Source organism: Homo sapiens, chromosome 6, assembly GCF_000001405.40.
Source record: "Homo sapiens chromosome 6, GRCh38.p14 Primary Assembly".
NCBI lineage: Eukaryota > Metazoa > Chordata > Mammalia > Primates > Hominidae > Homo > Homo sapiens.
In genome coordinates this window covers 82877922-82895331 of record NC_000006.12, presented here as the reverse complement: position 1 = coordinate 82895331, position 17410 = coordinate 82877922, and the positions used below count along the sequence as shown (strand labels likewise).

The 17410-nt window shown below is 40.2% G+C and overlaps 1 protein-coding gene across 11 annotated transcripts in view; it reads left to right on the top strand.

Moving 5' to 3' along the window:
* UBE3D (ubiquitin protein ligase E3D) overlaps positions 1-14530 on the top strand; it is a 185040-nt gene extending 170510 nt beyond the window's left edge. For 7 of the 11 annotated variants that reach the window (NR_146809.2, NR_146808.2, NM_001304437.2 and 4 more), the window contains one exon: positions 2290-2942. Coding sequence is in view for 8 of the 11 variants with exons in the window: in NM_001304437.2 (NP_001291366.1) it covers positions 2290-2310 (21 nt within the window). In the remaining 3 variants the exon portion in view is untranslated. Of the gene's footprint in view, positions 1-1250; positions 2943-13831; positions 13899-14403 lie in introns of those variants that run through there. The other 4 variants (XM_011536238.4, XM_047419505.1, XM_017011458.3 and 1 more) reach the window with 3 other exon arrangements.
* The last annotated feature ends 2880 nt before the right edge of the window (positions 14531-17410 follow it).

Genomic DNA, 17410 nt, shown 5'->3' with positions numbered 1-17410 from the left:
TTTTCTTTTTTTCTTCTTTTTGAGACAGACTCTCCGTCTGTCAGCCAGACTGGAGTGCAGTAGCGTGATCTCGGCTCACTGCAACCTCTACCATATGGGTTCAAGTGATTCTCATGCCTCAGCCTCCCAAGTAGCAGGGATTACAGGTACCTGCCACCATGCCTGGCTAATTTTTGTATTCTTAGTAGAGACAGGGTTTTACCATATTGGCAGGCTGTTCTCAAACTCCTAACCTCAAGCCATCTGCCTGCCTTGGCCTCGCAAAGTGCTGGGATTACAGGCCACTGTGAGCCACTGTGCCGGCCTCTTAACCATTTTCGTAATGTCATTTATCAATGTTATCCTTATGCTAAGTATTTCCTGGTTGGAATATGCCATGACATAGCAATTTTCAGAATTACAAAAGAGATAAATGGTTTTCTTCCATCGTCTTCATGTTTGAATATAAGCAGCGTCATTGTCTTCTTTGTACAGTTGTGAGCTTCCTGTCCCTGTAAACTGTCTATGTAGAAGCAGAATGTCGCCTGCCAGGGATGCTGCCCACAGTGAGCCCTAAGTCAGACTCAATGACTTCTGGTCTTCCTTCCTCTGTCTATTATAACAGGCTCTACTGGCCTCTCTTCTCATCTGGTATATTCACAGGCTTCTAATATCTCTTGTCAGCTGAGAGACAGGGGAAACACATGGATTTTCCTAATCATTATTATTAAGTTTTGAAGGGAAGGTGAGGGTTAAAGACAGAGGGAGTTGGCGGCTCTACAGAAATGCAGGTTTTATGTGCAGCACAAGACCTGCAGAGGTGGGGGACCAGTTAATGCCAGCCAGAGCCCACCGCTGCTTACAGGCTGGGGTACTTATAGGTATGGGTGGGAGGGGTCTGGGCAGTATGGCTTACCGCCCGGCAGGATATTGATAAGATGTTCCTATGATCAGGCGGTTTGGCCCTTTTTCCAGTGGGATGTCATAGGATGTTCCTTGGGCCTTTGTCCAGCAAGATATGATAGCAATGTTCCTTCAGTTGGGCCTTTGCCTGGCAGGGTATGATAAGAAAGTCAGGTGGTTGGGCAGGATGTTTCTCATGGTCCGAACCCCCATGGAACGTTTCACTTTGACCTGGGACTATGAAATGGTTGGGGGGGTGGGGGCGAGGCTTACAAAATGGTGCAGCTTGAACTAACAATGATCTCATTTGAGCTTCACAGTAAGCTCTTGAGGTTTGCATCAATTGTCCATGTTTACATTTTGTTTAGGAATCAACCTTTCCTCTTTGCTGCTCCTTCCAATTTGGTGTTCTCTTGATAGAGAAACTCAGCAGGAAGTTGATATGGAAACTCAGCAGGTGCCTTTCTCACCAGCACCGTATGAAGGGTAACATCCTTCTGAATTACTCAGCATAAAGCAGATGCTTTCTGCCCTGTGTGACCCTCCCTTTACCTTTTCTTTTAACAGAATAGTTAAATACACACCTCTTTTTACTGCATTCGGGGACTTAAGGACAAAATTTCCTGATGCAATTGACAGATGTCCCATACTTCCCCAAGAGTAGAATGTTTTTACTTCTGTTGCTCACGCCTAATACGAGCTTCCCAAGCCTCCCATACTTCACGATCTATCTCTGCTCTATACTTGACTCTCTTCCTCATATTGGCACAGTTCCCAATTTATTGTCACCCCTGAACTAAACCTTTCTAAACATTTATGATTGACTTTGTTAAGTTTGTTTCTGTTTTCAAAACTATTGGGAAATTAGATGCATTTGATCTAGGCCTCATTACATAGTCTGAAAATAGTTTGTTCGTAAGACTGTGTGAATTAATTTTTTTTAACTCTAGGTTTTAAGATGAATTGCTGCTGACCAACCAATATAAGTGAAAGTATCACAATGACCTAGGAGAGACTGGTATAATTACCTATAGGGATGAGGACCCAGAATCGCCTAGGAATGAGACTCAGAATTCTAAATATGGAAGGTCCAAAACAATAGTTGTGAATCGATGGAAATGAGGACTGGATTACTTCGTAGCAATATAACTTTAGTTTCAATTAAAACTCTATTTTTCTCCTTTAAAATGCGTGTGAATCATCTTAATTACTATATGGTTCATTAAAAAAAGACTAATTGGCTCCTGCTGTAAAATAAAATGTCTAGATCCACTAAGAGTCATTTTTCTGTTTAAACAAGCATATGATCTTATTGACCAGACTTAACCTGATTCTGATTTGATGTACATGCAGCCATTTTGTCATATTATAGAAGTAAAGCATTGTGGGTTTTTCTTCCTTCTCCAGGTGGCCTTTTTGAAGATGTAACTATTAGAGCTGGGCATTCTCCTCCCCCGGCAGACAGCTCTCAAGCAGGAGCACACCGAGGCCAGCAGTCAGCTCAGGAGGCATCAATTACAAAGACAAGAACCAGAGCTATGGGATAAGAGCATTGCATTGAAGTTTTAAGTTTACTTGTTTGCATGTATTCTCTAAGAGAAGAGTTAACTTTAGATCTTTGAAAACCCAGGACTGTGAAGAAAGTCATAGTAGCAGGTTGAGGCAAGTGTAGAAGTTACATCTCTATTTCCCACAGAGAGGAATATTCACATATGTGCAGTGTCAGCACCACCTGGAAGGTTATTACCTAATGGAGATCCATCTGTCCTGTGTGGAATCCAGTGAGGAATTTTATTGGTGGAACTGAATGTTAACTGCTGTAAATCCTAGGAAATAAACTTTTAAAGAGTTTCTCAGGATGATTTAAAACAAATTTTAAAAAAGAAAAGTAGAAAACATTTTATACTTTATTCAGAGGAGATGCTCAATAGATGTTTGTTGAATGAATGATTATCAAATTAAAGGATTTCCTATTTATGCAAATCTGCATGTTTCTTTTGTTATTTCCTTTACCATACATTATTGCAAATTAATAAATATACCTCACTAGCATCCCGTTACAGAGTTGTTCTATTCTTTGTGTACCAGCACAAGCGGTGAGGAAACCTTTCAGTGAGAAGGATAGAGCTACAGGGAATCCCACAGAGTACACGCTAGCTCCTAATTTCACAAGGAACGTTTGAGACTTGCCTAGAATCACACAGCTAGGATCAAAGCTGGGACTGGAGCCAGGCATGTCCATCTCCTCTGCCCAAGATCTGATCCATCTCTCTCTGACATCCTCCTTTCCTACTCCAGGATCAGGAGGACAGTCTGTGGATTTGCAAATATCCTTGCTGCTCAATTGGCATTAATCTCCACAGACCACCTGATATATCTTGCCTCAAAAACCCTGAGTTTTCTATCCGCAAATTTTCTAACACTTTTTTTTTTTTGAGATGGAATTTAGCTCTCGTTGCCCAGCTGGAGATCTCGGCTCACTGCAGGCTCCGCCTCTGGGGTTCAAGCGATTTGCCTGCCGCAGGCTCCCAAGTAGTTGGGATTACAGGCACCCACCATCACACCTGGCTAATTTTTTGTATTTTTAGTAGAGACAGGGTTTTGCCATATTGGCCAGGCTGGTCTCGAACTCCTGATCTCAGGTGATCCACCCACCTCAGCCTTCTAAAGTGCTGGGATTACAGGTGTGAGTCACCACGCCTGGCCTCTAACATTCTTAACACAGGTGTCACTTGGCATTTTATGATTGGGTGTACTTTTCATGATTTCTTCTTCCTGGTAGTGCAACCAAAACATTTGTCTTACTAGCAAAGCAGTGGTATGGCACTCCTAATTCTGTAACTTGTAGACTGACATAGGAATAATACCCAACTGTTGATCCTGCAGAGTCATTTTATGAAGCACAGTTTGAAACGTTGAAGTTCTTAGTGATACATCCAAGACTCACAGCCACAGAAGAGAATTAGTTTGGCTTCACTTAAGCTACTAGACTCCCAAACATCATGCTGACTTTCCATGCTTTAGATTCCTATCTGTCAGTATACAGCAGGGTTCCTCAGCTTCAATACTGTTTATATCTTGGTCTGGATAATTCTTTTTGTGGGAGACTGCTCTCTGCATTGAAGGATGTTTAGCAACATCCCTGACCTCTACCCACTAGATTCCATTAGCACAGCCCCCTCCTCCACTCCAGTTGTGTTGACCAAAAATATCTGTAGATATTGTTGTGATTGACAAAATTAATTCCAGCTGAGAACCACTGCTATGGAAGATATGGCCTGAGAAACAAGATTTGGTGACTGTCTATGGAGTTGTGTATTGCCCATGACAGATTATTACAAAATCTGAATCTTTTTCTGGCATGTAGCCTAAGCTTAGTATGCTATTTTTTTTTCACAAATGAATACATTAGTGGTGAATGCCTTTATGTGTGACTGTTTCTTAGAGTTCAGTTTGTATCGGTCTAATGTTGGAAATTGGAATAAATTAGATGAAGCAGAGTTCAGCCTGTGCATAAAAAAGAATTTTCTTCTGAGATAGTTTTTCTCCCTCTGGAAAAAAGCAATGGCCATACTACCATACTAATGTATGTTTATGATTTAGATCCTAAAGGTGCTTGTGATTGCACAGATAACTCTGTACTGCTCAAAAAAACCCAACTAGAAGAATATTCTAATTTTCTAACCTTGCCTCCCTAATAAAATCGAGTTGAGTCAAATGTAGTGAGACACCCTCATTTCACCTCTTCCTTGGGCCTTAGGAGGAACCAAGCCAGCCTTCTTTCTGATGGCATAGTGTGGGGAGTGGAGGTGGAATGACCATGACCATGAGAAGCTCTGAGGGACAGATGTAAGAGGAGGTCATGCAACACACACATGCACACAAAGGGCAGGTTTCTGGCAACACTATAGTTACTTTGCTTTAAATTGCATCTGTCATGAATCACATAAATCTTGTCATGGTGAAGTTCCCAAGCTCAACAGGTCTCCATTGGATCTTCCACAGTTGGGAAGGGAGGGCCAGCACAGCTATGCCCGTGCTCAAAGTGAGTTATTTACATCTAGTCACTGGGTAGGTCTGAGGGGTAACATGTCTGTACCTGTGAGAGTCTACTTTGGGGCTATAGGGCATGAAGGGAAAAGGGAAATGGCTCTTTCTATCTTTTTGTTGCTGTGGGTGAGTGAATTGGTGTGTATGAGACACATGCACAGAAACAAAGAGACACAGGGATAGCATTAAAGACATTTAAATTTCATTTTAAACCATGCTGGGAGGGCTACACAGAATTGAAGCAGGCTGTACAATATTAATGTTGACCCTTGGAAGTTGTTCCACATTAGCCTCCTCTGTCTGGTGAGTATAATTCCACAATCTATTCAGTAGTATTCTTAGATAAGGATACCACAGAATGCAGACATGCATTGGTTACCAAGGACCTCTTAGTAAAGCACCAAATTTCTAGTCCCTTTTTTATGTCTCTAAAATCTGCTGTAAACAAGTGGTTCTGTGAACTTGTTTTTATCTAGTATAAAGTTACAGTAAAATTACCTGTTGAAAACTTCTGTCGGCCACTCATTTTGGCAAACCTATATAGGTTTGTTCATTCAGTGAGGACTTTTAGAACATCTACTACATTTCAAGCATAGTTACAGGTACTGCAGATAGAGATAATAAGACAAAGTCCTTGCCCGCATCGAGCTTACATTCTCATGGAGGCAGCAGACAAAAATAGAAGTACTATGTTTTATCATAAAATTACTATATATAATTTCTGCAAAGCACAATAAGACAAAGATGGGTTAAGAAAGATTAGGTGCTATTTCAGACAGGGATGGCTGAAATGAGCTTAAAGTGTATGTATACTGTATAGTACCATATATGGTTAAAATAATTCAATTCCATCAAGAGCTGCATTGTTAAAGGCCAACAGATCACATGCAAACTGCAGCCTTGCATCATTTTGCCAAAAGTAGCTTGACTAAACAAGGATCCACCGATATTAGCAAAGCGTGTTTGATTCCATAGATACCAGAAAAAAGAATCCGATTAGACCCAGACATGCTGATGTAACTGGCCTTGTGCAGGCCTTTTGGTAATTAAGTCTGCTCAGTAGCCACTGTTGTAAAAAGTGCTGACAGTGTTAAATAGTTTTCCTTTTGCATGATAAAGCCAGCCTAGTTGCTGTTCCTGTACATTTGTTTTTGCGCCTAATGTATAACAAATATTAATTGAGATCCACATTTCGTTGTTATTCAGGAATGTAGGAATGATTGGTACATCTTAGTCTATAGTTAGAGAAGAATCACCATTAGTGTTACCCATCAGAGGAGTGTGTCCCACTAGATGCTTATTTAAGAGTTCTACACATTCTTAAATCTTAAATACACAAGACCACTCAATATGATTTAATGTAACCATTTCTCTTGGTTTACATTTTAAGATGCTTTTACATTTTAAGATAGGTTTTACCTTTTATGATACATTGTACATTGTAAGATATATTTGAGATTTCATCTACTGAATCAGAGCTCATCATCAAAACTTAATCTGGGAGAAAAAGTAAGAGGGAGTTAATGGAAATCAGTCATAAGAGGTAAATCCTCCAGTTTTAAGAAGAATGACAAACATAATTGTTCAAAACAACATTTTTAAAAACATCTAAACTGTACTACCATTCTTTTAAAAATATGTCCCTATTTCCATTCTGGAATAAACTAAATCAATTTGTTCTCAATACCATTACATATAAATTATGAAACCCATTTTCAAGGCCACCCTTATTCTAGGATCCTTTGGTTACAAGGTACAATAAGCAGAGGGCAGGATTTGTGTCCTAGTCGTGTCTTTTAGTAGCCTTCCTGGGACCTTTGGCAGCCTTTCTGGTCAGAATGACAACTGCTGGCCAGATGACTACATTTTCTTTATTCACCTTTCTCCCCTATTATACAAAGCCTGATTACTTTCTTTCTATAAATATTTCAATATTTTTATTTGATCCCTTTTTAACATTTCATAGATTAAAACTATTTTCTATTTTATTACTTATTTTAGAAAAAAGGTGAAAATGATTTTTATTGTCATAATTTGTATGCACTCTATTTGTGTTTTGGTTGCAAATTTCAATAAATCTGCTTAAAAAAAAAAAACCTAAATCATGAACACCACAAGTGGTTAACTTAATTTCAAGCAGTAGCAGCAGTAGATTGCCTATATGGAGGTTCTGGCTGAACTCTTCCTAAACTCAAGGAAAACAGGGCTTGTCACCCTCTGCCCAGTACCCTTCCCAGCCTAAAAAGGACATGGCAGGCTTTCTGCAGATTGAAACTGGGAAAGAAATTGTAAATAGAAAGCGCCTTATAAGTGCCCACAAAAAAAAAGGTGGAATCTTCTCTCTTTTTTCACTGGAAACCAGAGAAAGGAACCAGTCTTTGGTGAAAAGGATCTCTCAGACCTGTACCTCCCCTTACATTTCCCACACCCTCTTCCCCTCTTCCTAGGTAATAGCATTTCTAGGAAGAAGAGCCAGAAATGCCAGCTTTGATCACTCCTGTGCTCCCTTTCCTGAGCCCACACTCTGGGGTTGATCACTGTGTGACCCCTTCACTTGAAACTTTCTCTTCATAGGATGGTGATATAAGTAACAAAATTAGTCATCATTAGTTTTAAGTTCCATAGTAGTACATATTGGACTCAGAAAGTATACCATCCAATATTCTTTTCTTTTCTTTCTTTTTTTTTGGGGGGATGGAGTATCTCTCTGTTGCCCAGGATGGAGTGCAGTGGCGCCATCTTCGCTCACCGCAACCTCCATCTCCTGGGTTCAAGTGATTCTCTTGCCTCAGCCTCCCGAGTAGCTGGGATTGTAGGCGTGCACCACCACGCCCGGCTAATTTTTGTATTTTTAGTAGCAATGGGATTTCACCATGTTGGCCAGACTGGTCTCGAGCGCCTGACCTCAAGTGATCTGCCTGCCTCGGCCTCCCAAAGTGCTGGGATTATAGGTGTGAGCCACCGCGCCCAGCCCACTATTCTTTCTGAAAAAAAAAAAAAAAAAAAAAAACTGTTACTGTCTCCTCCAAATACAGGGTTTGTTTGTTTTTTCTCTCTCTCCCTTTTTTTTTTTTTTTTTGAGACAGTCTTGCTCTGTGGCCGTCTGGAGTGCAGTAGCAGTAGCACAATCTCAGCTCACTGTAGTCTCTGCCTCCTGGGTTTAAGTGATTCTCCTGCCTCAGCCTCCCAAGTAGACTACAGGCACCTGCCACCACACCCAGCTTTTATTTTTTATTTTTTATTTTTTTTGGTATTTTTAGTAGAGACAGGGTTTCACCATGTTGGCCAGGCTGGTCTTGAACTTCTGGCCTCAAGTGGTCCACCCGCCTTAGCCTCCCAAAGTGCTGAGATACAGGCATGAGCCACTGCACTAGGCCCAAATACCAGTATTTTGAATAATAAACTCAATATAGGGCACTATAAATTCTCTGAATTGTTCATTTGATTATACATACTCTGTTTAGTGCCAATGTTAAAAAAATTCTTGAAATAAGGTTCATAATGTAACAAAAGAATTGAAATAAAATTCCACATTTCAATTCAATACCATCTGAAAAGTGATGATGTCAAGAAGAAACGAAATAGTGGCCAAGCATAGACACTTTGTCTAGCACAGGCAAGAGACATTTATTGTTGATATCATGAGAAAATTAAGTTGAAACTTTTTTTAATTTCTAATGAAATCACCAGTAAGTTAGAAATGTGTGTGTTAAAAATCACTAGAGGAAACAAAGAGAACTTGATAAAGAAAACACATTTCCTACGTATCTTTCCAATCCCGTGACAATTGCTCCTGGCAATTTTAGAAGAGCAAGTTTCAATGCTTGTGTTTACTTTTTTCCCTTTATTCCATCAAGCCAAGGATGTTCTCTACATCAGGGGTCTCCAACCCCCGGGCTATGGACCAGTACCAGCCTGTGTCCTATTAGGAACTGGGCTACACAGCAGGAGGTGAGTGGAGGGTGAGGAAGCATTACTGCCTGAGCTTTGCCTCCTGTCAGATCAGGTGGCATTAGATTCCCATAGGAGGTGAACCTTGTTCTGAATTGCATATGAGAGGGATCTAGGTTGCGTGCTCCTTATAAGAACCTAACCAATGGCTGGTGATCTGAAGTGGAACAGTTTCATCCCCCTTCCACCACAGGTCCATGGAAAAATTGTCTTCCACAAAACCAGTCCCTGGTGCCAAAAAGGTTGAGGACCGCTGCCTTACGTAAGCAAAGGCTACCACCTGTGGTTTTGCCACAGTGGTTGTATTCCTTACACAGACATAAAGTGTTCCGGAAATGAGTACTGTCATTAGAGATTGCTTTGTATGAAAGTAAAATTAAGAATGGAGGTGAGAAAAAACACACAAGAGAAACTGGCAAAGCAGTGAGTGATGATATCAAACTGCTGGTGTGGACCCCAGCAGTTGTGGAGTACAAAGAGGGCCCTCCCAATGGACAGAGAAGGCATCCTTGTCTGGATGAGGCAAGATTTTATGTGGGCCTTAAGTGATTATTAAGATTTGGAAAGATGGGAAGAATAAGACACTCTGGAAGAATGAAACTTTGAAATAGTAAGAACATTTGGCTGGATTGGAGGAATTGAGATTGGACTGTGAATAAGATAGGAAAGAGTTCTTGTCAGATTGTGGAAAGCTTTGAATGCCATCATGAACCTGCAGAACAATCCCCTTCCTCCTGACTTCTCAGTGCTCAGGCACAACAAGAACAGAAAATATATATTTTTTGTACCCTTGAGGGCTTTTTGAGCTCTAAAATGTAGATGCGGTAGTTAAAAGTGAGAGGGTTCTAGAATCTGCCTGCCTGGGTTGAAATGCCGCCTGTGCAGTCTTGAGCAAGTTATTTAAGCTCATCTTTAAAATGGGGTAAAAAAATAGCATTTGTCTCATAGGGGTTATTTCAGCATTAAATGGGTTAATGCATGCATAATGTCTAGAACAGCACCTGGCACACAGTGTGCAATACATTTTAGATACAGTGATTATTCTATGAATTTGCTGGTCTGCCACCCCTCCTTGTCATCCCCTATGGAATTGATTTTCTGAAGTTTTAAGCAGGAGAATAACATAAAAGTGATGCACTAGAAAAACCAATCTGGTTGCAGAGCACAAGGTAGGTTGAGGAGAAGAAGAAAAGACCTTTTGTTGCAAAACAAGGAGAGGTTTCCCAATTCCAAAAAACTGTCAAAAACTGTCTTGACCAAATAGCTTTGTCAGTGCTTTTTTTTTTTCTATTCTACTTTTAATTATTTGTGAAGGCCATTAAAGATACAACGGAATACATAGTTTTCCATCTCCAGTCAGCTTTGCTCTAACAAGGGACGTGACAACCCATTCTAAGCATTTTCATACAGATATTTTTAAATGAGATCTTTTTCAGAATCTTCTCTTGCAAGCAGAAAAGCTTTTGCAAAAATCTTTAAGTGAGGAAAGGAATCCAGCACAGAAGTTTCTGACCACGCATCTGACAGGGATGCCCTCTGGACTAAAGTTCAATTTACTTTTTATGTAATTTCCAAAAGTACCGGGAATCTTTTTGTTCAGTGTCACTGGTTCTCAGGAGAACAAGGCAAATCATCTTCCCTGGTGAACCCGTCCTCCTCCCTTCCATTCGTATTTCCCCATGCATTTTCCTTCTCAGAATTATGCTGTGGGATCACCCCAGTGTAAAATCTCAGTGTTCCACCTGAAATACCATGATGGGAAAGAAGTTGTTGACTATGTTACTAAATTTCAGATAAGTGAGCACTTTTATTTCTATTTAAAGAATAATTCAACACATTGTTGAAATGAATTAGGATCTAATATTTGAGTAACCTGTGTGTATGGAGCCAAACATAGGGGAGTAGACAATGAGGTGAAATGAGCAGGAATAAACCCTATTTATCTGATTCTTATCCTCACTTACTATTGAAAGTCCTGCCGCTCCCTGCAAAATACTCTCTAATTATGTCTAGGGTGCCTTCTGGAGTGCCCGTATGCATCATTTACCTCATGGCATCTGTCACTTTATTCCTTTTTTTCTCCAGCATCATTTGGTGCTGATGATCTCCACTGCTGCCCCATATGAGGTGTAGGTGCCTCTACTACCTGGAAGCCTCCAATGGAGCAAAAGAGTGAAACAGTCTTGGAAACTTCAATAAGCCAAAGTTTCACTGTCTAGGGTATAGATGGAAGGAGAAGGTTGATCCTCTCCACCATGTGTTGCTCTTTGTAACACAGATCCCAAAATGGGTGTTTCCCTGCACCCCAGTGCCTATAATTATAGTTTCTAATTGAAAGCTGCTCTTTTTAATGTTTTAAAATTTGAAATTATCATCCCAGCCCAGGGGCTAGACTTGAAAACAAATTTTGAGTACCATATACTCAAATGCTAAAACACCATTTCTGAACCAAACCCAAGTGCAGAATTATCTCTTCTTCCAAAATGAGGTTCTCCCAGAAGTTCTCTTGGTCCTGCACATAAATAGATTCAGGGCAGAAATCTCAGGTGTTAGCACTGTTTGGGTTCAACCTGGGACTAAAATTTAATTACTTTTTTTTGCCTATTCTACCTTTATAGAAGTGCTATAACACAAGCTTTGACCATTCTTGTTCTCTTTTAGTTTTAAAGCAGTTATGTAGCATTACCAACTTTAAGTTTGGGACTATGGCTTTGGTGAAAGTATATTAGATTGAGGTGATTTTTGAAACTCCTTTCTATCCTGGGAAAGCTGTCTTCTCTTTATCTTAGGTCATTCGATTTTATTTTACTGAGAAAATTGCTGTGGAACAAAACTTTCAGGTGGGGCTTCCAACTAAACTTGGGAATCAGTTTATAATGATTCTTGTGTTTTATTTTATGTAATAAAATTAAGGAACAGTTGAACTTTTTGAAGCGTGGGCGCTCTTTGAGGTCAGGTCCAGTATTTTATTCATCTTCTTAATCCTGTGCTTAGGACGATGCCTAATGCAGAGAAGGAATTCAGTAAATGTTGGCTTCATTAATTACTCTACTGGGGACATTCATATTGGAAAACTAGAGAAGTTGGGTCAATAGGGTATGATCGATTTGAGTTAATCCATTCTTACAAAATGTTTATGAATCTCTCTGGCTGTTAAAAGGTTCTATATCCTTTAAGATTTATTTCCAATATCACTTCCTCTAAGAGACATTTTCCTTATTCCTCCCAGACTAAAAACATTTATTTCTTTTTTGAAAATATACTTTTCAAAAATAAAACGATGAAGTCTTTTGTCCTGTAGGAAATGTATTGAAGATATTTGCTCATGTGTAAAATGCAGATGAACCTTCACTTCTTGTTAGATTATATGGTCTTAGATGAATATAATGACCAGGTTTACAAGTCCACTCTATGTCCTGACTGTTTCTTGACCTGGTTTGGAAACTTTGTGTAAAGTGGCCATTTATCTCTTATTAATTCCAAAGATGACAGACACAGAAATTTATTGTCTAGTTAGTAGAAGCTGCATTCTCTGATTAGCTGCCTTGCCCTTTTTGAAGCTTTGATTTATTGGGGCGGAGCAAGCACTGGCTTTTGTATGTGCTGAAAGGAAACTAGGGTGAGGAATAATTTATAGTTCTCTCTTTGTGGCTGTAAAAAAAAAGGTTATTTTCATTATATTGCTATAGGAACTGTTCTAAAACAGAAGAAAGATACTGTAATAAGTAGAAACCCAAAGAATGACATTGAGCTACTGTTTCAGATAACTTAAAAACATTGTTAAAGTTATAGTTTGAAGCAGATGGGCCCTTCTGCTTCAAAATCTCTTATCTTAATTTTACAGAGAACAATGTCTTTTCCAGTCTGGCATCAGCTCTGTGCAGAGTAGCATTTCTGCAGCTCTCAGGCAAGTTACACTTGCCAAAACAAAGCATAGGTGGAAGGTAGCCGGGAAGAACTGGCTGGTAGCTTTTTTAGCTTGGGAAAGTGCTGCCAAAGAGGAATCCAAAATAGAGGTGCCAAGTATTCAATTGTCCACAAAAAAACAGTAGCAAACATTAGACATTATCACATTTGTTTGGGGTTTCCCAAACTTTTCTTTTCTCCTTTTTTATATTCCGATAAAGCCTTTATTTTGGTGAGGTGCTTTGCTATATGATCCCTCTGTTAAAAGGTTTTAGGAAAGCCCTACAGCTTGAGAGTATTTGCTGTAATAGGATAAACTCTGGATTTCCCCTTCTAAGCCAGTCAAGCCTTTTTTAATCATCACAGTGAGGGTGCAAGATTTTCCAATCTCATGGATAATTCCAAATTCAAACCCTGGCTCCTAGAGTCAAGAGTAAGTAGGATTTCAGGATCTTGTGTACAGAGTAAGATGAACAGTAGGGAATCGGTTCCTTTGGAGAGCATTGTAAGTGGAGAGCAGCAGCAGGGACAAATGACGGGAGGAAGGAAAGTTCTGGGTGTGTTCGTGGAATGGTAAATAATTTGGCTTACTAACAGCTGATATTTTTAGGCATTTCCAATATGCCAGGTATTAGCTGGCATTAATTAATTTATTTGTGGGAACATTATACAGAAGATACTTTAGTTATCACCAGTTTATATGTGAGGAAACTGATGAGGCTTAGAGAAATCCAATAACTTACCTAAGGTCATACAGCTAGAGAGAGGCAGAAATATTATGTGATTCCAGAATGGCTGAGTTCCGCATGAACTGTTAATCACAGTGCTATCTATAGCCTTCAGCTGGGACAGAGAAAGAGAAGAGGGCCTTTTTTTCAGAGGAGGAAAAAGCAGTAGAGAAGTGATAGATACTCTGGAAACTGTAGAGCACTCAGCCTCTTTTTCTAATAGTGTGCTGGACATCTCCATATGAACTTAGTATCTGCTGTTCAAATCCAACTGATCTAAAAACCAAGCTCATTATCTCTTCCTCCCCTTGAAGGTGGTATCCAGGTTATGGCGTCATCACCAGATGCTCAGGCACCCAGGCTAGAACCCTTGGAATCAAGGTACAGCCCCTCCTCATAATCCTCCTCCTCTGTGAGTCTCTCTCTGTCCTCTTATTCTAGTTTGACTGCTTCTGCTCTGCTTCCCACCCTCATATTCCTACCTGGCAACATTGTCACAACTACCAACTTACCAAAGTCCCTTTCTCCCTACATCCTCCTAGCCCCAATGCATCCTGCAGTTGCTGGCTAGAAAATTTTCCAAAACCAGGACTCTGATCATGTCACTCTCCTCCAAACTTCATAGCTCCCTCATACATGCAGGATTCTCTCCAGACCTCTCAGCCTGGCTTTCAAGGTCCTCCACAACTGAATCCTGCAACTGACTGAAAGTTTCTGTCCCCTTAAAATTCATGTATTGAAATCTGAACCCTCAATGAGATGGTATTAGGAGGTGGGACCTTTTGGAAGGCAAGTAAGTCATGACAGAAGAGCCCTTATGAATGAGATAAGAGACCTTATAAAAGAAACTCCAGTGAGCCCTCTTGTCTTCTTTCCCTCACATAAGGACATAACAAGAAGTCAGCAATCTGCAAACCAGGAAAGAGCCTGCACCAGAGCCCAACAACGATGCCACCCTGCTCTTGGACTTCCAGGCTCCAGAACTGTGAGAAATAAATTTCTATTGTTTGTAAGCCATGGAGTCCATGGTGCTTTATTATAGCAGCCTGAGCTGACTAAGACAGGTCCTAACCTATCTTTCTGGCCTTTTTGCCCACAATTCCTCACTGATGTTAACTTTCGGAGCATGCTAGCCAGACTCCCCTGAGGCCTCCCTCATGCTTTCTATTCTCCTCTTCACACCTTGTTAATGAAGTGCCCCTGCCTGAAACACCTCTGCCCAAACCCATCCCACTTCTTAAAACCTTTCCTCATTTTTTCAGGTCGAATGAGTTACTCCCCCAGGTCCCCCATAGCATTTGCTTATACCTCACATTCCCTGCATTATGTCACAGCCTTTTGGGTTGAAGACTTTCTCCCCAGTTACACTATAAGACTTTTATGATGAATGACCTGGTCTTATTCATTAGTGTGATGTCACTACTTAGTAGTAAGTCTACTGAAATGCATTTTGCTGAAATGAAGACACAATCACTTGGTCCTGAGTAGAGGCTACCTTTGAAAATGAACTTAATGGCCCCTTTCTTCTCTGAACCAGGAGATCATCCTTGATAAGAGACCATATCTTGAAGGAGTAGGTAGTTATGAAGCCACATGGAACAGGGTGGCTTAGAAACATATCCAGAGCTTTTTACTGCACAAAGCCCAAACTAGGCTAATTAACTGAAGTGAAGGAAGGAAGAAAGTTTACAGAGTTATGTACCTTGGCATATTCTTAACTATGTGGATATTTTTTCATAAAAAGGGGATCTTAAATCATTTTCTACTTTTCTTTGTGTGTGTGCAATCGGCATGGGGCAAATCTGACAGGATACTAGGATGCCACACAGAATAAAATCCATAGATATTATTTTTTAAATTATATATTGACAAATTGTATATATTTATAGGGTACAAAGTGATGTCATTTTTTAATATAATGTGCCATAATTAAATCAAGTGAAATAATATATCCATCATCTCAGCTCACTTTTTTTGTGATAAGAACATTTGAAATTTATTGTTTTAGTGATATTAAAATATACAGTACTGGGCCACGTGTGGTGGCTCATGCCTGTAATCCTAGGACTTTGGGAGGCCGAGGTGGGCAGATCACATGAGGTCAGGAGTTCAAGACCAGCCTGGTCAACATGGCGAACCCTCCTCTCTACTAAAAATACAAAAATTAGCCAGGCATGGTGGCTCACGCTTGCAATCCCTGCACTTTGGGAGGCCAAGATGGACAGATCAATTGAGCTCAGGAATTTGAGGCCAGCTGGCCAACATGATGAAACCCTGTCTCTACTAAAAGTACGAAATTTATTAGCCAGGCATGGTGGCACATGCATGTAATCCCAGCTACTTGGGAGACTGAGGCAGGAAAATCGCTTGAACCTAGGAGGCAGAGGTTGCAGTGAGCCGAGATCACACCACTGCACTCTAGCCTAGGCATCAGAGTGCAACTCCATCTCAAAAAAAAAGAAAAAAGAACTATACAGTACTCAATTATTAGCCATATTCACCATATTGTAGTATTGATCTAAAAAAAATCAAACTGATGATAGTCAAAGGGGACAAAGCCTCAGTTAGATGGGAGGAATAAGTTTAATTTCTTTTGAAATTAATTCCACAGATATTATAACCTACAGGCACACATAATGCACTAGCTACAACACAGAGGAGAAATGAAAGTAATTTATAATAAATACTCTCCACTTTAATATGGAAATGCTCAGTTTAGGACCACACTGGAAGACCTGGGGAGCAGTCTATGCCTACACCACACATGTGCAGCTGCACGTGCAGACTCACACAAGTGGGTGGTCTCAGTGACTCACTCTGGCGGCATCCCAGGGAAAGTGCCAATCCAAACAAAGTGAAATCTCCCCTCAATACATGGTAGCTGTAAATCTGGAAAATTCCATGTGTATTAAAATCATGCAAAAACATACTTTGTTTTTCTGCATAAAACGAAATTAGATTCTGGGCTCAGATAATTATAAAAACCTGTCTCACCTATAGGAATGTCTGACAAAACATCCAATATTTGTGAGGGATGTGGAACAATTCTTTGATGGGCAGTGCTGTGCTGTGCATTGTGGAAAATTTAGAATCCCTGGCTTCTCCCAAATGCCAATGGCACTCTCAAATATTACGACAACCAAAAGTAGTCCCATCAATTTCCAACATGGCCCCTAGTAGGCAAAATCATCCCCACTGAGAACCCCTGACCTAGGTGACTGGGTTTATGAGGAGGTAGACTCAAAAAATTTAAGTGAATCACCAAAGTTGACATTGCTAGGAAGTGGCAGGATCAGAACTATATGTGTAATTCACATCTGTTGACTCTCAATCCAGTGCTATTTTGTTAGGTATATTCACACACATGTAGCCATAAATGTATATGTTACATTTATATATAGATGCATACACGTATGATAAAATTTGTTTTATTGAGAAACTATCTAGTCAACATTTGACTACATCTGAATTTCATAAAAGCCTGTTCTGACATTTCAATTAAAATTAGTTCAGTCATACTGCTCAACTTAGGTGAAACAGATATGCAACACAGGCTAAAGGCAGGAAAATGTTGCATCTCCTAATTACTACAGACTCTTCCATTTCTATGTGGCTGGCTGGGTAATCAGACCACCTTTCCACTGAAGCAACCACTTTCTACTGAAAACAACTGCAGAGGTAGGGGAGTCCCCAAGACCACCCTCACTTCTGACACCAATTACAAGTTTGGGGTCCCCAAGATAGCCACAAACTTGAAACCTTGCTAGAAGGATTCACATAACTCACTGAAAGCTTTTATACTCACAGCTGTGATTTATTATAGCAGAAGGATACAGATTAAAATCTGCCAAGGCCAGAGACACACGGGGCAGAATCCACATATGGAGCTTCCA